General features: G+C 37.1%; 1 long non-coding RNA gene across 9 annotated transcripts in view; it reads left to right on the top strand.

The window, feature by feature from the left end:
- LINC02911 (long intergenic non-protein coding RNA 2911) overlaps positions 1-25,602 on the top strand; it is a 73,031-nt gene that overhangs the window by 7,222 nt on the left and 40,207 nt on the right. For 4 of the 9 annotated variants that reach the window (XR_007065210.1, XR_007065208.1, XR_004837541.2 and 1 more), the window contains 3 exons: positions 12,868-12,928; positions 19,409-19,483; positions 22,489-22,541. This is a non-coding gene — a long non-coding RNA (long intergenic non-protein coding RNA 2911). The remainder of the gene's footprint in view (positions 1-12,867; positions 12,929-19,408; positions 19,484-22,488; positions 22,542-25,602) is intronic. The other 5 variants (XR_007065207.1, XR_004837540.2, XR_004837539.2 and 2 more) reach the window with 2 other exon arrangements.

Below are 25,602 nucleotides of genomic sequence, written 5' to 3'. Positions count from 1 at the left end.
CCGTTTGAGCCAATGACAGGGTGAGTCACAGGTGAGAGAACTTCAGGAAGAGACACTCTTTTCCCCAGAACAATGTGGTTCAGTGGGACCCTATGAGACACGAACCTGCTTAGATTATTTTGTTACCACAAGGAAATAACCTGGATGAACTGAAAATATCAGGTGAAACTAGCTGTCCTCAAGGACTAGATCCATGATGACATCTTTTGGAACTAGAACTTCTGGATTTTTCTATTATGGGAGCCAATCCATTATTTTTGAGGTTTAAGCCACTTTGGCTGGGTTTCCTACCTTATACAATGTGTATTTAGCCCTCATAAAAGCATGTGCTAGTTCCCTTCTCTAATTTCTCTCTTTTCCCTACTCTCTTCCATGACCTGTCAGAACTGGAACCTGAAGGCCATGTTCATGGCTATCTCCAGGTTTTACCTGCTGTGCCTACTTAAGTAAATAAATATCCCATATTGACACTTGAATAAGTAAATATCCCATGTCATATATTTGTGAAAGAGTGATGATGAAAGTAATATTTAGCCTACAGATTGTCGGGAAAATCAAATGAGACAATGATCAAAAAAGTACCATACCAATATTAATTATCTTTCTGAACAGTGCTAATTTAATCTAGAAATTGTTGTCAAGCCCATTTCCACTAATTTCTTTCCAAAGAAAAATTTATAATGATCTAGTAATAGACCTATAACCAGGAAGAAGCAAGAAGGGTTATGTGCACATAGGTCATAGGTAGAATAATAAAACTCTAGTGTCATAATTATTTTATGTGCGGCCTGATTTAATGCATTGTGGAATATTCCACTGAATGAAATCATCTTGCAGACTGTAAGCAGCAGACTAATATTAAGAATTAGAATTTGTACACTGTGATTGATTATATTACAATAATTTATTTCAAAGTAGACATCATTATATCTCATCTAGAATTTCCTTCTAATGTAAGAAAATGTTTCTGAATGGTAAATTTGCTCAATTTTGCAGCAGCTGTTTCTGAGCCAGAGACCCTTGCAACTCCCTGGGGCTGGAATGCTGGGGGTTCTGGAAGCTGGGCAGCACCCTTTGACTCCAATATAGAGTGGGCAAGTGCCCTAGGCTTTCCCCTCCAGCCTAACTGTTGTCTACCCCAGGTCTACCATTTTCAGGAAATGCTACACAGTTGCATAAACAAGTTCAAAACCAGCTGCATTTTTCTGGTCTGACCGAATAGGGCTGTTTAACATGGAAAAGACATTTACTGGTGAGTCCGCCTTTGTAGTTAAATTCATTCCGATTGCCCCATCTTGTGGAAGAAGGAAAAATAGCTAGATTATTCTCCCCTTTGGGTGTATACCCTAGAAGAAAAAAATCAACCCATTTATCTCTCTTTATCTTTGTCTATAAGCTCTTCTCTGTCACATGATACATCCCAAATACACGATTCTGAAGAAAGGCCTGTATTCCTCACATATTTGCAACCTGATCCCCTTTCTTTACTGATAGGAGACCAGTATGTGATGGTTGCATTCAGAAGTGCTAGACAGAAATTCATTGCTGCAGGGGAGAACTCGAACTCTGCCACCAGAATGTAGGCCCAAGTCAGAATCCATTTGTGCAGGTCAGTCTCTCAACCTGCTGAGTTATTCTCAGAATCCTGGAACAACAGTGATCACTCTATATCCAGGTATTTGAGATACTCTCCTCTTCTTAAGCCAGCCTACCTTGTATTCGCTCACTGGTACATGGATGTCTATTCAGTGGAAGAGTAGATGGAATCAATTCACGTATTTGTTCATTCACCAATTTACTTATTTATCCATTCATTCATCCTCTTAACATTTTTTTTATTTAACATTTATATGTTGAGAATCTTCCATATGCCGTGTACCATGCTAGGTACTAGGGAAACAGTAATGGGCAAAACAGCCACATAATCTACCTTTATGGAATTGGCACTTTTATTGGAGCTGGGTACACAGATACTAATTAAAGAATCAGACACATATATAATTGAAAATTGTGATAAGTCTATGGAGGGGCATTAAAGGGTACTATGAGACCATAAAAGAAAGACCTGATGTATGGAGCCTGACCTTTCAGGATAAAGGGACATTTGAGCTGAGATCTGAAGAGTAGACACTAAAGGAGAGACAGGGGCATGTGGCAAGAGCATTACAAGCAGAGCCTGTGAGCTGGGAAGAATGCAGTGGCTGCAGCAGAGAAAAAGGAGAAAGAGTGGCTCCCAAGAAAGCTATAGAAGCAGTCAGAAACCAGATTATGTTGGGCTTTGAGGACATATTAGGAGTTTGGCCATCTGACCACATGGGTTGCAAATAGAAAACACTGTTCTTTCATCAAACGAGGCCGATTTAGTCTGACCTTCCTTTGCTTTGGCTCACAGCAGTTGTGACAAAGGAGCCAAACCAGTGCTTTCTGGGTGTCCCTATCTCCTTCTCGGCCAGCAAAACACGATAGGTTCCACTATTTATGCTGTGCCCATCCATTGCAACCTTTGAATCACAACTACATCTTTATAAGTTGCTGTGTAATTTCTCAAATTACAGTTTCTTTATGGGGGACCTCTACGATTTACCTAGCACCTAAGGGTGTTTGTTTGTGGGTACAAATGACTGTTGATTCTGTCTCTAGGCGACAAAGAACAGCTTGCCTCTGCAAGCAGTCAGCCTGAAAGTTGCACAACACTGACATCTGCTGCTTGTATGCAGTTTGAGATTGTACCGGGTCAGAAAGAGTAAATGTAGTAAAACTAAATGTTTGAAAATGTTGGGCAAACGTACACACACACACACACACACACACACACAGGTGGGTGCACACAGCTCCTCTACAGCCTATGGTCTTGTACTTCTGATTTTTCAATAATATACAAGAATAGAAGGCTAATTTCAACATGATGTTTTCTTACTGTCAATATTTGCCAATTGGACAAGGTGTTCACATGATGGAAGATGAAGTTTCTGCTTGGCTTTAGAGGAAAAACAATTGACAAAAACCTAGATCAATGTTTTCACTTAGCAAATATTAATACAAGGCATAGAAATAAATGAAAAAAGGTATCAACTTTCATCATAAAAGCAGCTTAATAATAGTGATTTTGTGGATGACATATAATATTTGCATAGTAATTTACCATTTCTAAAGCATTTTAAGATGTCTTTTCACATTTCCTCAGTCATTCAACCATTTATTCACTATATAATGAGTGCCTACTTTATGTGAGTCATTAGTCTAGACTGCAAGGATTCTCTTGGTCCTGGCAGGGTAATTAAGGAAGAGTACAGCGTAACACTTAACCAAGTATGCATTGGATTCAGACTTGACTGCTCTAAGTGTCCATGCCCTTGTGTGTTAAATGGCCAGTGATAATAACAATGCCTATCGCATCAAAATGTTGTGAAGATTAAGTGAAGATAATACATGTAGAACATTCACTACAATGCCTAGTACATCACAAGGTACTTATGGAACTATGACTTTAGGTATCCCAATTTTTAATGTAGGAAACAAAAGATTTTCAGCTTGACAATGTTTCGTGATGACAAAGTAAAAAATGGGTATGCAGTTTATGAGTTTATGACTGGGATATCATGAGGGTTAATGGAAAGGGGTAGGTTGAAAAGGTTAGAAAGGAGGGCTGGTCCTATTCTCAAGGAAATCTGGTGTCTAAGAAGTTTTGGCTTCATTGTTTAGGGAGATTTTAAGGGAAAGCTGTTCTCAGAGTAGTGCTTTAGGAATATAGGTTATTGGGGTTAAATGACAGGAAGGAACAGAGACAGAAAGCAGAACCATCAGTTAGGAAGTTCTTACATGGGCCCTGGTCTGAATTAATTAGACCTTGAGACAGACCAGAGATGATGGTGGGATGCAGAGTAGTAGGTTGATGAGGATATTACAGAGAACAAATCTAGATGAGATGTTGGCTGTTGAGTGTTTATTGGCTGTTTCATGGGATGGCTACATTGCCGCCTTTGAAATCTCATTCCTTGGAAACACAGAAGAAAATAATTTTTTTCCCTTTTCTCTGCTTTGCTGTTTATATTGTGTGGAGATCAAATTCTACCCCAGAAAATTCAGTGTGTCCCAGCAACTCGTTTATACAGTAAACAATCAGTCTGTGTTCCCTTGGCAGGAAACTGCCAGTGGCCATCAGAACAATCACATATTCTTCCATCTGAGAAAGGCAGCTAGGACAAACTTTGAAAATCTAATGTGATTGGTCATATGTCTGGATCCTCTGGGTTTAGACTTCTGAAGTAAAAAATCTCTAAAAAGTGTTTCTAGAAAGTGAAGAGAATTAGATCTTTAAATGTAGTGAAAGTGAAGAGAAAGCAGAGTAAGAATTGGAAACTATTAACCAGCACATGTAATAAATATATGCAAAACTGAATAATCTATAGCAAATACATATTCTTTTTTATTATGGAAACATTTGTCAATATTTATCATATTACCATAAAGAAAATCTTAAGAAATCCTATAACATACAAACCTTACAACAACTCAAACCCAAGGTTACAAATCATTTACAAAAGTATGTAGCCTCATTGTGGATATTTTGGTTATTAAACAAGAAAGATATAAAAAATTGAAATAAATTAAATATTTAACTTATGAAACTAAAGATAACACCAAAACAATCCAAGTATAATTATTATATAACTAATGATAATAACAGCTGAATTTAATAAATTAGAAAACAAAATGCAATTAATAACCAAAAACTTCTTCAGAGCATTAAAATTACCCCCTCTTCCTTGAAAGTCTTTAAAAGAAGAGACAAGAAGAAAGAGAACTACAACTTTTAAAATAAAACAGAAGCTGGAAATATAAATGTTAAGAGATTAGATGAGCTAGAAGAAATATTTTGTGCAACATTATGCCAATACATTTAAAAATGTAGATCAAAATAATAACTTCCTAAGGAGATAAATTGTTAAAATTGGCTCAACAAAGATAAACCGAGGAAGCATCCATACTATTTCAATAACCAGAAAATACATGTAAATATTTGTCAAAGATCTACTATTTAAAAAGATACCAGGATTATGAATAACTCTGTATGTAAATTTGATAACCTAGAGAAAATGAACCAACTTTGTGAATGATGTAACCAAAACTCACACAAAGACAAATAGACTATCTAAATAGGCCCATATCTATAACCAAATTGAATCAATAATTAATAACCTTCCAAAACAGATAGCACCAGACCTGCATGTTCACTAGTGAATTCAAATGGTTAAGGAAGAAATGCTACTACGTTTTTACAGTTTCTTCCAGAAAACAGAAGGAATATTTCCTAACTCATTCTATGACACCAGCATTAACATAATACCAAAACTAGACAAAAACATTATGAAAAGAGGAAACTAAAGACCAATATCTCTCATAAACATCGAAGCAAAAATCTTCAACAAGATATTAGCCAATCATATTTAACAATATAAAGAATTATACACATAGCCAAGTGGGATTTATTCTAGGTATAAAAGTCTAGTTCAACATTCAATAGTCAATGAATATAATCTATCACATCAATAGGCTAAAGAAGAAAAATTATACAATCAGTTAAATCAAATAAGTAGTTGTGGAAAAAAAATCATTTAACAAAATCCAACACTCATTCATCATGAAAACTCGCAGTAAACTAGGAATAAAGGGGAAGTTCCTCAACTTCATAAAGAGTTCCACAAAAAAATCAATAGCTAACATCATAATGGTGAGAAAATAGATGGTATCCTTCTAAGATCAGGAACAAAGTAATAATGTCTGCTTTCACCACTCTTATTCAGCATCATATTGGAACCCCTAGCTAATGCAATAAGACAAGAAAAGGAAATAAAATATATAAAGGTTTGGAGAAAGAAAGAAAGCCTTCTTTGTTCACAGATGACATGATTGTCTATGTAGAAAATTTAAAAGAATAAATAAATAAGTAAATAAATAAATAAATAACTCCTGGAGCTATTAAGCAATTATAGAAATGTTGCAGGATACAAGGCTACTATACAAAAGTCAACTGATTTCCTATATACCAGCAAAGAACAGTTGGGATTTGAATTAAAAACACAATACCATTTACATTAGCACTATAAAAGAAAATGAAACAGTTAGGTATAAATCTAATAAAATATATACAAGATCTATATGAAGAAAATGACAAAACTTTGATGAAAAATTAATGAATATTTAAATAAATGAACATATATTGCATGTACATGAATAGGAAGACTTAACATCATCAAGATGTCAGTTCTTCCCAAATTAATCAATATATTCAATACAGTACCAACCAAAGTACCAGCAAATCATTTTATGGTTGTCAACAAGCAGATTATTAAAAAAAGACCCAGAATAGCCAAAAAATATTGAAGAAGAACAAAATTTGAGGTCTGACACTACCCAACTTCAAGGCATACTATAAAGCTAGAGTAGTCAAGACACTGTGGTATTGGTGAAAACAGAGACAAATATGTTAATATAACAAAATAGAGTACCCAGAAATAAATCTACACAAAGGTAGTCAACTGATCTTTGACAAAAGAGCAAAGGCAATTCAATGAAAAAATAATAGTCTTTTCAACAAAAGATGTTGGAACAACTGAACATCACATGCAAAAAAACGAATCTAGATACAGATCTGACAGTTTTTGCAGAAATTAGTTTCAAATAAATTATAGACCTAAATGTGAACTACAGTACTATAAAACTCCTAGAAGACAACAAAAAATCTAGGTGACCTTGGGTTTGGCACTGATTTCTTAGTGATCCATAAAACAACATTGTGATCCATCAGTTGTGATCCATCAAAAAAATTGGTAAGTTGGACTTACTTCATTAAAATTAAAAATTGCTCTACAAACACACTGTCAAGGGAATGAAAAGACAAACTACAGAATGGGAGGAAATAGTTGCAAAAAACATATCTAATAAAGGACTGGTATCCAAAATATAAAGAACTCTTAAGATTCAACAATAAGAAAACAGCCAAATTTAAAAATGAGCAAAAGACCTGAACAGATGTCTCACCAAAAAAGATATGCAGGTAGCAAATGAGCATACAAACAGATGCTTACCATTATAGTTTACTACAGACCTGCAAATTAAAACAATAGTGAGATACCACTACTCATCTATAAATTAGAATGGTTAGAATCTAAAACACTGACAAATGATAAGGAGGATGTGGAGCAACAAAAGCTCTCATTCATTCCTGGTGGGAATGCAAAATGCTGCAGCCACTTTAGAAAACAGTTTGGCAGTTTTTTCAAAACTCAACATGTTCTTACAATACAATCGGCAACTGCTGTTTTGGATATTTAGCCAAATGAATAGATTAATTTATGTCCACAGAAAAACCTATACATTAGTGTCTGTATAGCTTTATTTGTAACTGTCAAAACACAGAAATGATCAAGATGTCCTTCAATAAATGAATGAATAAACAAATGAAGGGAAGTCCATACAATGCAATATTACTTTGCAATAAAACGAAATAAGCCACCAAGCTACAAAAAAATGTGCAGGAACATTAATGCGTATTGTTAAGTGAAATAAGCCAATCTGAAAAGGCTATGTACTGTATGATTACAACTATGTGACAACCTGGAAAAGGCACAACTATGAGGACAGTCAAAAGATCAGCATTTGCCAGGGTCTTGTGCAGAGGGAGGGGAGGGGAGAATGAAGAGGTGGAGCCCTGAATTTTTAGGGCAGTGAAACTATTCTGTATGATACTATAATGGTGGGTACATATCATTAATACATTTGACAAAACCAGTAGAATGCACAACACCAAGAATGAATCCTAATATGAACCACAAACTTTAGTTAATGATAATATATCAATATTGGCTCTTGAGTTGAAACAAATATACCACAGTAATGCAAGATGTTAATAATAGAGAAAATTGTATTGGGGAGTGAAGGGGCCTATGGGAACTCAATGTACTTTCTCCTCAATTTTTCCCTAAACCTAAAATTGCTCTAAAATGAAGTCTAATAATTTTAATATGTATAAATTATATGTTGTAAAATATATATATAATTAATGAATAAAAATTTAAAAATGATACCATGGATGAATGGTTTTATAGGGCACTCTTTTTGAACGTTTAAGGGCAGCTAACACCTAAATTATCCAGATAATGCAAGAATATTTTCAAGAAGCCAAATCTTCCAAATTCCTTTGAAAAAAATACCAAAACCGAATAGAAATTACACCCTAAAAGAAAGCCATAACCTAACCTTACTTAAAAATGTAAATGCAAACATCTAATACAACTTTAGCAAAGAAAATACAGCCAAGTATTAAAAGAAAAAAATATATATGTTTAACATTTTATTCTAAAATTTTTAGAAAGGGCCAGTATTTTGAAATTTATTAAGGAGAATTCCACATCAAATATTTTCAGAAAATGGTGATTCACCATGCACATTAACATATTAACAATTTTGCAGTCCTATAGTAAAGCAACCTGGTTTTGGTTTAAACCAGTTTCCCCAAACATACTTGACAAGGGAACACACTGTTACTTTTAGGTATTATCCACTAACATCCCATAAAATACACGGCTCAATGCAGGCATGCTTCTCTCCTTCAAGTTGCATAAGGGGCTGTAGCAGCCTGACTGATGGTCCCAAGATGCCCATGTGCTAATCCCTGCAACCCATGAATATGTTATCTTACATGGCAAAGGGGAATTAAGGTTTTTAATCAGCTGACTTCAGATAAGGCAATTATCCTGAATTAACTAGAAGGGCTCAATGTCATCACAGGGGTTTAAAAATGGAAAAGGGAGGCCGAAGAGAGAATCAGAGAAAGGCATATGGAAATAAAAACAGGTCAGAATGATGTGAGAATAACTTGACCTGCCCTTGCTGGCAATGCAGATGGAAGAAGGGACCATGAACCAAGCAATGTGAGCAGACTCTGGAAGATGAAAAAGACAAGAAAGGGATTTCTTGAGAGCCCTTTAGAGTCTCTTCCAAAGACTCCAGAAAGAAATGCATCCCTGCTGACACCTTGATTTCAGCCTGTTGAGATCTATGTTGGACTTCAGAAGTGTAAGATAATAGATTGGTGTTGCTTTAGCCACTGAGGTTGGGGTATTTGTTACAGCAGCAACAGGAAACTAACACACAGACTGTCTGCTTTAATACTTCCTTTAAAAACCCCCTTGCTTATTTTTGGTCTTCTACAATTACCTGTGAAATAAACATACTGGAGGGAAAGTGAGTTGGAATTAGTACCAAGTCAAAATTTTGTAATATTTTTACAGTATAATTGTCATGTTCATTATTGTGGCTGTGGTGTAGTAGGAAGAAAACAATATTTGCAGTTTTAATGTTTGTGTAATCTTGAGAACACCTTTTTTTCAGGTTCTGTTTGTTCTTTTATGCTATCTCATGGAATTATTGTGAGAACTCAGAGTCACTATTCGACAGTACTTGAAAGCAGGGCTTTAGGGTGACCTGCAGGGTTTGAAACCTGGCTGTGGTCCTTGCTGGCTGTGTCATTTTGGGGAATTTCTCTCCTGCTTACCCTGCCTAACTTTCCCCACTCCATTTATTATTTCCTTTCCTTTTTCATGCAAATTTTGCCAGGGAATACACTCATATGTGTTAAAACTCAATAATTTATTAAAAAATTTCAAACAGTGACACGTCTTTGTCTTAACTTTATCATATATCTGCCTAGTTCCCCCTGCCATCCCCTCCCTGTGACATGCACCCATAGGTACCCACTGTTCTTAGTTTCTTATGTATATTCCAGATTTATGAAATTGAAGACAAAACATAGAAATTCATATTTTACATAAAAGATGGCATTTTATATACATCATATTGCACTTTTCTTTTTTTGCTTAAAAATGTATCCTGAAGTCCATTCTCTATGTGCACATAGAAGGCTCCTTCATTGTTTTTATTTTTTCCACTTGTGAGATATATCTATATGGATATATTATAATTTGTTTAACCTATTTATGAACACAATACTGTTCCCAGTCTCTTCTATTACAAACAGCGTGGAGGTAAATGGTCTTATACATAAGTAATTTTACATATTTGCAAGTATCAGTAGGAAAATATCCCAGAAGTGGGATTGTTGAATTAAAGAGTTTATACATTTGTAATTGGCAGACATGAGTAAGTTTCTCACCTTCTCTTAGCTGTAGTTTCCTCATTTATAATTTAGGGATAATGATAAACATACTTCATGAAGTGCTGTTGAGGATCTAATGATGTTTCATGTAAAGCACTTAGCATTAACCAAATTTTAACTTCTATTAATATCACTATTAGATTACATCATGTTATAAATTGCAAAGTGCTAAGCATAGCACTTTAAGGTAGAATATTAATGTTATCAAATTCTGTAAGTGCTAACTTGGGGATAGCACATGCAATAATATTTTAATAACTCACCTAATAAGCAGGTAGGAGTTCTTTGCTGTTAGCATATTTATGTTAGTTTTGCTACTAATTTGTTTAAAATGTTCTTTTCCTTTAAAATATGTTAAACACTTTCCCAATTATTCAATTTATGACAAATTGAGTAACAGTTAACTGCTCCAATGGCAAGTTACCCTTCTCTATTAAAATAACTTAAGCTGCATTTTAGCTAAAACAGCCCAAGTTGAAAGTTGTCCAAAGGTGTTATAAGAAAGAATGTAATCCAATATGTTACTGGATGATTTTTATAAACATTAGAGGGGTTGGAAGATGTGTACCCTATTCTGAAAAAGATAAATAGACCAACTGGAAAAAAATCTCAACTCAAATAATTTAACTCTCTCATTATTAGGATTTCCATGAAATAATTGAAAAGTTGTTAGATTCATATGAGCAGCACACCTTATACATTTCAACATATTTATTATGTAGGAGATGTCTATTATATATTCATTATTGTTATATGTACTCAAAGATTAATATTTGCCCTTTGATATCCATATACAGGATAATTTTATGGGCCACAAGTTAGATAAATTCATACAAACAAAATAATAAGTGTCTAGCTGTAATTAGCACCTTACAAAACTTTCAATTTAGGGATTTAATTTGAATGTCATAAAAAGAAACTATGGCATTTTGAAATATACTAGGTCAGGATTTAAGAGGCCTCTTTGATTTCAGCTCTGATTCCAAAGAAAGGACATAAACAGTATTGGTAGGATATGAGGGCATCTTTTGGAGCTCAAGGGCAAGAATTACAGTTGGTTTTCACGAGGGTCTGTAAACGGTTTAGTTCATAGCTCCATTCTGCAGATATGATGGGTCCTGCTCTCTGCTTCCTTGACCAGCTTTTTTTCAATCTAATGGGTTTTAACTGGATTGTACTTTGATATAATTGCTACTCCAAAAGGGTAGCTTCCTAGCTACCTTGAGCTTCTTCTAAAATTTCTAGGAAAAAAACTTATAAAAATTCAGGACAAAAGAGAATTGTATAGTAAAAAGAATATTGGACCAGAGAGTAGTCAGCAATCCAGGATTCCAAACTTTCTCAACCATGATCTTGCTATGTGAGTAGGAAAAAACTGTGTAAGTACTCTAAGTCTTCTTTGTTCTGCCCATTTGCAGGAACATTTATTCCCCAAATCTATCTCAAATATGCTTGTGCTCTCTTTTTCAAGTACTGGAACCGTAGACTTGTCTATTGCAATTGCAACTCATTTCCTCCCTCTAGCCTGAGCTCACTGCTGGAACATACAGTCAATACAGGGGAGAATGAAAATACAAGCATGTATGCATTTTTTAATCCAAATAATAAGCTTTATGATGATACCTTGGATAGAAATGTGTACTATAGCAGAAGGAAGACAGTAGGTGGTGAGTTGGAACATTCACTTTTACACATATTAAAGTCAAATTTCTTATGTAAAACCTAGTTGACTTGTCTAAGACTCAGCAAGGAGGTCTTGGCTACAGCTATAGATTTGGAAATCAATGGAATGTAGCTGGTGGTAAATCCACAGGAGAGAATGAAATACCCAGGGAGAGTATATACTGAGAGGAGAAAATTCAAGCAAATAATTTCATTAGTGTGATATACATCCCATCCCCTTCCCCCCTATAATGCCCCCCACAAAAAAAAAGCCTCAATCAAACAAACAAAAACAGAGCCTAGCACAGTTGTTTCCATGCAGTTGGTTTATTTTGGGAAGTGTTCTCAAAGAACAAGAGTGGGGCATTTTTGGAGTGGAAGGAAAGGAGGAAAAGCTAAGTAAAGCTGATTATCAAGCTCTTCACTGTTGTGAACAACTGGAGTGGATCCCTTAGAGATGCACAGAGGAGCCATGAGGAATGCACCTCAGAGGGGAGGTTTATCTTCCCACCAGCTTCTGTCCCTCATTGGATAAGGGTGGCCTTGTGGGGTGTCAACTCCCTCATATTTTCAGGTTTTCTAAAGTCAGAATGACTCTGAAAGTTTCCTGCAGGCATCCTATACAATGATGGCAGAGAGCCCTGGACTTCTCTTTTGTTTGTCCATTCATTCATTTCATTGTTTTTCATTGAATATACACTTATTTTAAATGTGTGCCAGGCACTAGGAAGTGGTTAAAAGTTAGAGCTCTTTCTTTGATATCCAATAAGGATGGGTCAACACAGGCATGGAGAAATCAAGAGGAGGTGGAAGAAGCAGAGAGCTTCACATCTGTGGCCATTAACCCAACTTTTACAGCCACACATACCCTGAATCTCCTTTCTATTTTACCATCCACTCTTAATTACTTTCAGTTATTCCTGTTGAGGTCGGGGGAGGGGGTGGGAGGGGTGAATTTTAAAAGGGGTTTGGCTATTACCAGCTGTTTTCTTGGAGTGATTAACGAGACTCTTCCATCTTTGTTATAGTCTGCCTCTGTGTTCCCTGGACAACTCCATTCCAGTGCAAGATTCTCATGGTTGAATTCATGTAAGTAAAATAAATATTTGGTGCAACTTGACTGGAGTAATTACTTATTGGCCTTTTGCTATGTCTCAGGCTATTGTTATTCTTGCTGTAAGTGCCTTAGTTGGAACATTTCATTTACTTTTTTCAATAAACCCATGAAGAAGGTCAATTTGCTGAACCTGCCTGCAGCCTCTGTAAGGACATGCAGGATAAACCTCACGCTCAACCCTTCACCATGAAAGACTTGGTGAAGTTCCAGGTTATCTGTCCCAGTAATTGAACGAGGATAATTAGAGGCAATTGTCATAGAAGGAGAGCCTGGGCAGCAGAGCCTCTAGATTCAGGTCAGTGGCTGGTGGCCAGGTCAGGCCATTTTTAAGAAGTAGCTGGCGGGTGAGAGATAGAGGAGACCAAGAAGCAGAAATGGGAGAGGCCACCCTGAGAGATGAAGCGAGATTCTTCTATTACTGAGAATTTTCATGTCTATAAAACCTGTATGCCCCTATGGCTTTTCTGCTCCAAGTGGTTCTTTTACATACATTCCATCTTTCATTTGAGCTAGCTTGAGAGACTTCCTGTTCTTTCCAGCCTTGATTAGAACCCAAGCCTGTATTATTGGAACTCCAGCAGCATTCATAAATGTTTAATCTATATTGTCAGGAGAGAGATAGCTTTGTCTAATGGGAATGGCTAATAGTTAGAGATCAGGTGATATGTTTTAGTTACAGTACTACCATTTACTTACCTTGCATCCTTGGGCAAAAACACCCTTTTGGATCTCTGTTTCCCGATCTATAAAGCGGGGATAATATTGCTTACCATATCTCTTTTCTACAAGGAGGATATATAAAAATAATACAAATTAAAGTGACTTAAAAGTTTACAAAGCAATATATAAATGCAAATCATCATTATTATGTTTGGCCAAAATAAAAATATATTCATCATACAGCCTTTTACACTAGTAACATTTCTAAGAGCTGATTAGCACTTGAGTTTCAGCAAAAGTTCTCAGAAGTGCTCTGACTGGCATGGGACCAAGAGGCCATATGCAGGTTTGAAAATTTTTGCAACTTTATGCTTTGTCTCTCCAACTAGATGTTAAGGTCACACTATAATATGTATGTGTATTTGTTTCTTTCTCAGAATCAAGCACAATGTAGATGCTTATAAATATGTGTTGAGGGACTATTTGGATAAAAAGAAAGATGGGTAGGTGTTGTTGTAGGAAACTTTACCATCTGTGGAAATTCAAGGTAAACTTAATTTCTCTGGTTATTATTCTTATTCTAAGGAAACAATAGAAAAAATAGTCTGAGTAGGCATACCTGCCATATGCATGCATATGTATTTCATACATGCTTTTTCACTGGAGCAATGCAAATAAAATCAGTGTTACTAATCCTTCTAGCTGGGTGAGAGTTTTTTAAAGTCTGAACGTTCATATGTTCACAGGTATGAATATTTTTAGGATACCCCACACAAGCCTGCTCAGTAGAAAAAAATTTTCAAGTGCCTTCTTGGACAGAAGGTGTTCACTTTATTAAGATTTCAATATTTGGAAAGTTATAAATTTAGTGTTATATGAGTCAAACAAACAGAAATCTTAATACAAAAGTGCTCCAAATCTTCATCTGTCCCTTAATGAAAATGAGTAAATTGTGCAGGCATGAGCTTTCTGTTACTAGAGATGTTTGAGCTGTGGCTGAACAATCATCTAGCAGAGCTAGTTAATGCTTGGGGGAGGAGCAGAAGATGGTCTTGTTTCCTATAGAAGGTCATGACCAACTTACATTCTGGAATCAGATTGCATTTACTAGAGATTGCATTTATACCTGTTGGAAATAATGCTGAGCCTGGAAGGAGTCTATTATCTAAAACACAGTCAGCAAGCTATGGCTATGGGTCCCATCTGGCCTCTCGCCTGATTTTGCAAATGAAGTTTTATTAGAATGCAGCCATGCCCATTCATTTCATTATTGTCTAGGGTTCCTTTTGCCCTACAGCAACAGAGTTGATTAGTTATGACAGAGACTCTTTGATCTGCAAAGCCTAAAATATTTACTATCTGACCCTTTATAGAAAAAGTTTGCCAATTTTTATAAGAAGTAGATGGCAAAGTTTACTGCATACTTCTTAGAAAGTGCATCTTTACGTACTGGGGTTATAAGGTGTATTTGAACTTCTCTATATATTTATTTTTATTACATTTATTTTTAATTTTAGCCAACTCTATGCACTAATTTCTTCATCTCTAGGGTAGTTGTATTATGCCACTTGATCTTAGCCAAACAGCACAGAAACAGTGATAGAGTGGTGATATTATTAATACGCACTTCACTGAGTGGTTGTGAAGATTAAAAGTGAATATTTTGCATAGCGTGAACCTGACCAGTACACTGTAATGTGCTGGAACAATATAGAGGGAGACGGGGGTGGATGAGGGTCAGGGATGTCAAGGAAGTTTTGTTGTGGAGGATGTGACTAGAATTGTATTTTTGAAGAGAGGGTGAGGACTCAGATGGTAGTGGAGATACTGTTATCACAGTTACAGGGAGGCCGGCTAAACTGACCTCTAATCTTCCCAGCAAGGAAGTCCTCACCCCCTTACCTAACACTTCTGCCATGTTTTAAAAGGCCAGAGAGATTTTTCCCTGCTAATTATTCACTTGACCCGAGAAGTAAGTGCTTCTCTACTTTCAATCTGTGCTTTCTATCACTAAGATAAACTAGTAATGATTTGCCAATAAGATGCAATTACAGTGCCTGCTGAGGTCAATATTCAATCAGTGGTTCCATTCTGAGTGCTGCTTTGATCAGTTGGTTAAAAATTTCCTCTCTTTAGATTCTTTGTAAACTATGATTAATTGAGAGGTTTAGGGGTTTAAGATTGGAATGTGGTTTCAGTTTTAATCCAACTTGTGAGCCACACTTCAAACTCTGGCCAAATGTGATAGTCTCCCTTGGGAAGCTCCTGCCCACCCTGAGACGAGAGTGGGTACTTCTTCCTATTTCTCCCACCATCTCCTGCCCTTCTTCCAATACAGGTCAGACTCTAAAGAATAGCAAATAAAGTAGAGTATTCTGAAGGTTTTGTAGAAAACTCAGCAAGTCATGTTGATCACTCTCCAGCAAAAACAGCATGTTTTTTGTTGTTTTTCAATTCTTTTCTGGTTTCTCATCTGCTTGGTCACTTTTTTCTCCTTTCTGTTTTCCCCATACAGGGTTTTAGACTTTTCTCTATAAGTTAGAATGACTCAGATTCTCCCTCACTTTGGAAATCTTACTCTGAATAACAAAGTCCTTGTAGATAACTGAACAAGGCCATTGACTGTTCCTCAGACACAGCTTTTGGGACCACCAGACCAGATAACCACACTAGATCTGCTGATTTATAGGAATATAGCAAAATTTGAATGAGAATAAATCTAAGTTTTTTGGTACTTCATCCCAGAAACCCAAAATGATGGTACTTCGTTGCATCTTGGTGTTCTACTGGGTCATAATTAAAGTAGAATGCCTGAGGTTTTGTGGGCTCCTTTTTCTCTCTCTCCCTCCCCCAATCTCCCTAACTCATCTGAAAGTCTAATTTTAGTTCAAGGATAGAATTTCATCTTTGTTTTCATATGGATTCACATTTACTTAGGATTTATAATCAGAGGCTTCAAGTAGCTGGTGGTAGCCCTTCTGTGTAGCTAAGATTTTATTACTTTATGTATAAAATTTAAATCTTTAATCCTCCTGGGTTTTATTTTGGTAATGTGGCAACATATCTTAAATTTAAGATATATCCATAGCTTTTGTCGCAGAAAACTCTCTTATAGGAATCTATCCTAATGAAACAACAGCTGGACTTTAATAAACAAGGATGTTTATCACATTATTTGTCAAGGCAAGTACAAACACACACACACACATGGATGTACATTAATGAGGGAGATACTGAATAAAGTCTGGTATAATCCTCTTATGGAACATTAAATGTTTCCTGAAATGGATAAGCCTCTCTCTATTGACCTGGAGGACTGTTGATAATGCATTGTCATGTGAGAAAGGCATCAAATGGCAATAACAACTCCAAATCCCTTATTTCAATTTTTTTTTAATGTGAAAAGATGTGTCTGGGAGTGGTGGCTCATGCCTGTAATCCCAGCACTTTGGGATTAACTTGAGGTCAGGAGTTCAAGATCAGCCTGGCCATCATGGTGAAACCCTGTCTCCACTAAAAACACAAAAATTATCTGGGTGCAGTGGTGGGCGTCTGTAATCCCAGCTACTCGGGAGGCTGAGGCAGGAGAATTGCTTGAACCCAGGGGGCGGAAGTTGCAGTGAGCCGAGATCCCGCCACTGCAGTCCAGCCTGGGAGACAGAGTGAAACTCTGCCTCAATAAAACAAAACAAAAAATAAAAAAGTTTAAGTAGAAAGACACCAGACTGCCATATTATTTACTCTTGTTGGGGGTAGAAGTATGATTAACATTTTCTTTACATAGTTTTATATTATTTCACTGGTTTTAAGGATTGTGGTAGACACATGTCAATTTTGTAACTTGACAAAAGATTTCATCTGACAAAAAGATTTTTAAAAATAAAACAAGTAGACAAGTAAAACTGTTATTTCTCTATTTGAAAACTGTGATGTCAGATATTTTGGGAGCTGCACACATGTACAGAGAACAGTCTGTTGCAGTGTTCTGCTCATAGTCAATTTGGGCGAGAGCTGGGAAAATTCAGGAAAGGGAGAGGCTGTTAGGTCCAAATTGGAAGAGGAGAATCCTAGAGCTATTAGTCTTGGATTGTGGTGACTTTACCTTTATTTCTCCTGAGATAGATTCTCCCTTGCACCCATTTCCCTGGTGACTCATCTATCACTTAACCCACTGAGGGTTAAGATGGCTCTAACCCAACAGTTTCAGAGCAAATTTTTAACCTCTCTTCCTTCTGCTGCCTTCTGAATTTGAGTTATTGCTATACTTTTTAGAGATTAATAAAAGGACTAGACTTGGTGGGTCCATGACACAGGTTTGAGTTGAGTGTTCTGGTACCATCTATGTGACCTTGGATAAATAACTACTAATCATAGATTTGTCAGCTATGGAGTGGACACAGAGATGCCTTTTTATCGGATCCCACCCAGGACAGTAGTAGGAGGTTTATGTAATACATAGGGATTGTAAAATTATTTTATAGTTTTTACAAATTTGGAATTTAACTACTAGTCTCAATTCTCTATGATAATTTATCATAGAAATTATTGATTTGTATGATTACCTTCTTTTTGAAAAAAAAAAAGAAAAAGTTACTGCTTTCCCAGATGAGGATCCCATTGGGAAATAATGTTTGCTTTTTTGTCTTTCTGCCTCTGGTGTTTGTGTAACAGAAGGCAAAGTTCAGAATGGCTGCTGTCAGACAAAACTCTACAGACCTATAGAAGAAAATTTCAGGCCTCTTGCCTATTAGGTGAAGATTAAGTGTTCCCATGGTCTCCTCTATTATAGCAGTCAACAAGCCCATGATAAAAACAAAACCACTAACTCAACAGCTCTGACTTCATTTTTGCTGTATCTATTGTCCACTGGGTATCAACAAGAAAATAATCCCTTTCTGTAATACTTTCAGTTTTTACTTAGATGTGCAATCTGTTTTTTGTTTCTTTGTCCCATCATTGGTTAAGCATCCTAGCTTATACAATTGCTCCGTCCTTAAAGATAGAGGCATTGCCTTAATAACAGGAATATTCTACATACTAAAATAGCATCTTTGAAAGCACAAGTTCATTTTTAGAATTAATAATCAATGTTAATCTATTATCTTCAGGTGAATAATCACTTATACACATATTCTCTTATTTAATCCTCAAAACAGAGGCTCAGAGTGAGTACCTAACTTGCCCGAGGTCACATTGTTAGTGAGTGACAGAATTAGGGCCTCAGTCATTCTTTTTAGGTGAGCAACCTAAACTATGTTAACACAGAGTTAATGAAATGATCACTGACTGAATTAATAATTCTATCAACTAGACCCAAGGGACAACTAGCTTAACCAATATCTACCCCATGTAAGCCAAGAAGACTTCTTTTATCTGGGATTTCTCAGATAAACTAATAGGAATTCCAACGTTTGTTGAACCTAGTCAGTCATGGAACCCTGTTGAAGACCATTTCAGGGGAATAAGTTCTAAAGCACATGCTTTGGGAACAGCTGCTCCAGCTAGAGTCAGACTCTTTTACCAGCTACCCTCTTCCTCCCTCTGTCCTTCAACACTAGAGACCCTTGCTTAGCTCTTGTAACATGCAGCACTTAAATATAGCTTCTTGTTCTCTTTTGAGTGCACAAGTTATTAATTAATTTCAGTTGTAAAGAAATGAGCATTGCCAACTGTCCATTGTGCTTGTGATCTGGTGTTCTTTTGTCAAAAAGCACTGAGGCCTATTGTTCTAACCCTTCCCATGTTCACATTGAATTTCTGATGACAAAGCATATTTATTGTCTTCCATCCAGATTTTAAGTGCTGTTTGTGGGGTTTTGAGCAGTTGCCATTCTGAGGAGGAGCAGAGGAGCATGGCTTTGCCAAAGGTATGCTTGAACAAGGCAGCTAAAAATGACCAGACCTGTCTCCCCTTAGCCTTCTGTGTTTCATGTGGATTTTTCAGCAAACCTGCAAATCATGGTTGTTGTAGAGATTGTTCACTGCCTGGATATTAATTTTCTCCCCATAGAAAAAGGAGCTGGGAGATGAATCACTGAGTGGTTACCCAGCACAGAGAATGTTGTCTGCATTCATCTATCTTCCATTCAATCTTCCTTCAGAAAGACATTATGGGTGAGCCCCACTCTTCCGACTGCAAGTATCACCAGTGACAGCTTTGCAAGTGGCCTTAACAGCTTGTCAGGAAACTAATCAATGTAGGTTTTCACAAAGGAATCTACTTGATCAATATCATCAAGGAAGCCCAGACCTAACAAACAGATCACATAAGAGTTTTCATGATCAATAGAAGTTACACAGAAAGTAAATTATTGGGTATATTTCAACGAACGTATTATAAATGCTTCCTGATGATAGCTCTTTCTCTGGGAGCTACAGTAATATACCAAAAGTGATAGAAGAGGCAGTGTGTGCCCTGTCAGGCAGACCCCTAGGGACATGTTCTCAACATGAAACATACATACACAATTAGTTGAGAAGATGTAACTCTGGTTTTGAAGGAAAACTGGTTTTAATATTTGTCACCCTACCAGCAAGTAGATTATAAATTTTTGATGAATGGGATTATTTTGGCATCCCAGTACCATGGACATGGGCATATACTAGGCATATCAGTTATATTCTTGCTGAGTTGACCATTATTCCCTACACTTCTCAGAAACTATTGCTACTTCTATGTCATCCCTGCCATTTCCACCCTCTGCCTTTTTCCCCACTGTCCTTGGGGAAACCCCAATTCTAAATGTTGTAAACTTTCCTAACATATAATCCATAAGTGTGACATTAGAAAATGCTAAAATCTCTGGAAGTAAAATTTAAGGCATAGCTGTACTGTAATAATACATTGAGACATTACCCAATGTTTTTCTTCCTGGTGTTTATGTCTCTATCAAGTATCTTGCCTCATAAAAAATTGTGCAACAACTTAGCGGCCTAAATAACTGTAATTTTGTGTTCTCATAATCCTGTGGGTAAGCCTTATAGGCTGGGCTCAGCAATGGGTTTTTCTGCTGGTCTTGCCTGAGGTGAGCTCATGCATCTTCAGTGATTTTGTGGCTTAACTGGGCTGAAGTCCAAGATGACCTCACCCCATGTCAGGCGGTTGGTGCTGGCCATCAGCTGAGTTTCTCTCTTCACTCATTCTCTCTTCTTCAGGGAGACTAGCTTGGTTTTTTTCACATCATGCCACTGCATGCCAAGAGAATGAAAGTGAAAGCTGAAAGGACTTTTGAGGTCTAGCCTTGAGAATCACACAATATCAATTCCTCTACATTTTGTTGGTCAAAGTAAAACAAAGGGTTAGCCCAGATCCAAGAGGGGTTGGGAAATAGATTCTACCTCTTGTTGAGGGAGCAGCAGTCACATTGCAGGGGGACAGGGCAAAGGGATGGAAAGGTTTATTGTGGCCATCTTCTCAAAAAAATATCTACCACAATTTCCCTCTATTTTCCCCCTACCCACCCTAAACACATCACCCCACCTCATTCGAGAAGCTAGGTTTTCTCTGCTCCAAAAGGAGCCATAGAAGAGAGGAAATGAAAGAGTGGAAAGCAGAGAAGAAAAGTGAATGTCTTCCAGGTTTTTCTTTTAAGGGACTAAGCCTTTAGGATGTGGGAGAAACACGGAGAAGACAAAATGTTATAAAAAAAAAAAAAAGTGCATTGAGTCAGCTTCTCCTTAGATTAGGTAAAATTTCCTTGGGCTAGGAATGGAAGTGAGGGTCAAGGAGGACACAGAGGGGAGGATTTGGATAACTCAAAGAAGGGCCTGAAACAGGCTAGCAGAGATAACCATGCCCCAGTGTCATGGAAGAAGTAAAATAAATCTCACAATGTTAAGCATGTCTCAAGTAGCCTGAGAGCCACCCAACCTGAAGGAGGCATGAGCCAAAGGGAAAATCGAGACCTATGTGGAACAATGGCCAAAAAGCGGAAGGTGGCTTGTGTCTAAGAGAATTTCTGCATGGACAGAAAATAATAGAACCAGATGCCTCTCTTCCCTCTCCCTTCCATGCTATCAATAGCTTCAAATTACTTACTCCCAGTCAACTCCTCAAACCTTCCCTAGGTTAGGGAGGAGAGGAAGAGTCAAGATGGTGGAAATTACGCTTCCACTGCCTGAATGAGTCAGGGGCTTAATATCTGCATATTTTGGAGGATTTTATGGTCAGATCTCTTGAAGCTCTGCTGTCAGAGAGTCTTATCAAGCATGATATCAGTGGAATTCTCGGTAAACACCACTAAGGAGAGCTCCTTTTTGAAGGGAACTCTTGGTCTCCTAAGAACTAGGAATGAGTGGTATGCTTTCTTGCCATTTAATTGAAGAAGAATGAGACTGTCCCAGAACCCAAACATAAATTTCCCCTGCACATGACAATGAAGCACATAGTTTATCTTGTGACATCTGATCCAGAAGTTCAGTTCAATATGATTTGTCCATACTCAGCATTCTTATATTGAAAAAATATTTTTGAGCACCTATTTTGGGCCAGGTGCTGTAGAAGATGCAATGGCGAGCAAAAAGAGACTTTGTCCTTGACCTTTTGGAGCTTAGAAGGTCTAAGAAGTACCCCTTAATGGAATCTCCTTGTAGGTTACATAGTCTAGGAGAAAACTATATGGCCCTAAGTGGTTCTGCACACCTCCTGGGAGGGAAGCAACATGGCATCAATGTAAGGGCATCTTTAGAACTCTCTTGACAATTATCTTCCCTGGGACAAGCCAGATCAAACCGGCTCAGCTCTGGCAAATATTTTCTATGTATAGCCAAAAAGAAAACAATTAATTACCAAGACCTACCACAGTTAAGCACTGTGCTACAGGATTTACCTGTATTATATTCCTTAGTCTCTTCAATATATCTAACTTTCCAGTGTCTCCCAATTATGAGCACCATCTGCAAGAGTCCACTTGGAAAATACTCAAGGTAATGAACATTTCTTTTCTCCTTTCATCTTAGAATAAGCAAACACAATTTTCCTAGTCTTGTTAACATTTCTTACTTTATTATCTCCTAGGTGTGATAAGAGCTAATCTGATAAACTAAGGCAATGTGACAATGGATAATTATGACCCTATGATAAAAACAATTATGCTTTTATACTCCATAGGAAATTAAGCCATGCATACCATTAATAATAATTCAAGAACATAAACAAGAATATCACAGATATTTGGAAATTTGGTATTAATTTATCAGTATATTTTTATGACCCCTGTTTAGCCACGCTCCAAGTAAGGTAAGAACTTATAACTTTCCTTTCTTCTTTAACTTTGAGAGAAACCTGGCAGTCAGCTAGAGAAAAAGTATGCACTGGCATTTGTGAATGAGCACACAGTTCTCTCTGATTGATCATTTATGCTCTAGCATCCTCTGAGAGACATACATATATACTTCTGGGGGCAAAAATATTTCCTCTGACAATGAACAATCTATAGTTATATCCTGGATAAGCCTAGTCAAACTCAAAGATTGGTTAGATGTCAGATAAGAGCTTGGAGGGCAACTTGGAATTTCTCAGGGATGTAAAATACCCTTTAGATCTCAAACAACAACAAAAAAAAGTAAAAAAAAAAATCCATTAATCTCTGTGCTTGTCATCAGAAAAGCAACCTTTGAAAGTTTACAATATTTTGATATTTCAAATAGCAAATCAAGCAGAGAAGTCCTTGAAAATGCCAGTTTAAAAATTTGTTTTCCATTAACCTGAGGGTAGGCACCTGGGGAAGAGGGAGGTTTCTGCTGCTGAAATCTTTTTGAGCTTTTATGTCTATTGGCACTGGACAGCTAAATGCAGTTAAGGGCTAACACTGAGGTTGGCAATGAGAAAGTAATGCTCTTATGAGGTTTTAGTTCCCCACTGAAACATGCTTAAACACGTTTCAATGTGTCAACAACATTTGAATATTTCTAGGACATTAAGTACCTTGAAATATTGATAGGCCGAACTCCTCTACCTGTATATCATATGGAAGAACTCGGTTCTGAAAGAAATCAAGCCTAAGTCTATTGATTGGCTGAATGGCCAGAATCAAGGCTATTGCTGAATCTCAAGCTGCACAGGGCTTGTAGCGACACATGCATAGGTTCTAATTCCAGCTTCACCTCTTTCTGGGTATTTGATGTTTAACAAATAACTTACCATGTCTGAACCAGGTTTCTTCTCTGGAAAATGAGAAAAATAATGGTGCTTACCTCATAAGACTGTTGTGAGGATAAAATTGGCTTCTTTAAGTGGAAGAATGTCAGCAAAATGGTGAAATATAAGTTTTCTCTGTTATCTTCGTATAGAAAGATTTTTGATAACCATTCATGAAAAAGAGCACATTTGTGGGAGTATAGGAGTCCAGTGGAGAAGTTTAGCACACTATTGAAGCAAAAAACTCCAAGAATAGATATATTAAAGAGCATAAGAAAAACAGTTTTACTTTATCTGTATCACCTCTCCCAAGGCTGCACAGATCAGTGTTAAGAGACACCCCCTTGGCCTGCAGTTTTTCCTGGGGAGGAAAGTTAGAGTGCAGTGAGTAAGCATCTAGCTTCCTCAGTTCTGCAGGACACTGTGCCCAAAGACCCATTTATTTCTTGCTCCACTCAGAATACTGAGGGGATTGGCATGGCTGAGTGATTGAGAGAGGTTAGCAATAGGGAAGAGAGGCAGGTTCTCAATGCAACCAGGGCTCAGAAGTCAACAAACGGCAGTGGATCCCAGACTCCATCAGGGAGCTTGCTCACCAGTCTCTTGGAATGTCTAGTCGGCCAACCCCACCAACTGACCCACAAAGATTCCCAATGCTCTATGTGTCTCACACATGCCTTCCCCCTGTGGCCAGCCCCCTGCATGCACTCCTGCAGATGCCAAGTGTGAGCTTTTTCAGATATCTTGTGGACACATACAGGCAGCCAGATTGACTCTGTGGGATTTGGAGAATGCATACAAAATTGAGCATTTCAGGACACTTCTTTAGGAAAAACAAACAGGAGACTCTTAGACCCTGGCATGATCTTTTAGCATCAAGAAAAGGAATACAATCTTAAGAACTACCATCCAAAAGAGGAGAAGTGTGAAGCATGTGCACCCATAGAAAATATCTTAGAGAACCTAAGAATTCCTAGGCAGATTGGCTGAGGAAGTTGTTTCTCTTCTAAAACCTGGTCAGTAGAGACTGGAGGAGATGACTGCTTCTTTAAATGAGCATACAGCAATACAAGACTTTAAGAATTATGAAAAAAAGTGGCCGGGTGCAGTGGCTCACACCTGTAATCCCAGCACTTTGGGAGACTGACGTGGGTGGATCACCTGAGGTCAGGAGTTCAAGACCAGCCTGCCCGACATGGTGAAACCCCATCTCTACTAAAAATACAAAAATTAGCTGGGCATGGTCATGGGCACCTGTAATCCCAGCTACTTGGGAGGCTGAGGTAGGAGAAGCTCTTGAACCCGGGAAGAGGAGGTTGCAGTGAGCCAAGATCATGACACTGCACCCCAGCCTGGGTGACAAGAGTGAGACTCCATCAAAAAAAAAAAAAATAGAAACATGAAAAAAATCAAGGAACCATAGCATCACAAAAGGAATGCAATAATCAGTGGCTGACCCCAAAGAAATGGAGATCTGCAAATAGCCTAATAAAGACTTAAAAATAATAGTTTTTATAAAAAACTGAAGGAAATAAAGAAACTACATGAACAAAATTATAAGTTCAACAAAGAGATAGAATTTATAAAGCAAAAAGAACTTAACAGAAATACTGGAGCAGAAGAATACAATGAATAAAATAAAAAATGCAATAAATAGCATAAAGAGCAGGCTTGATCAAGCTACAAAAAAAGAATCTGTGAAGTTGAAGACAGTTCACTTAAAATTATCCAGTCAGAGGAGAAAAAAAATTAAAAAGAACAAAGAAGAATAAAAAAATAGTCTATAGGATAATGGAATATCATAAAAAGAACTAATATATATTATGTGAGTTCTAGATGGAAAAGAGA

Source organism: Homo sapiens, chromosome 16 (genome assembly GCF_000001405.40).
Source record: "Homo sapiens chromosome 16, GRCh38.p14 Primary Assembly".
In the NCBI taxonomy this organism is placed as follows: Eukaryota; Metazoa; Chordata; class Mammalia; order Primates; family Hominidae; genus Homo; species Homo sapiens.
This window is presented reverse-complemented; position numbering and strand designations above follow the sequence as displayed.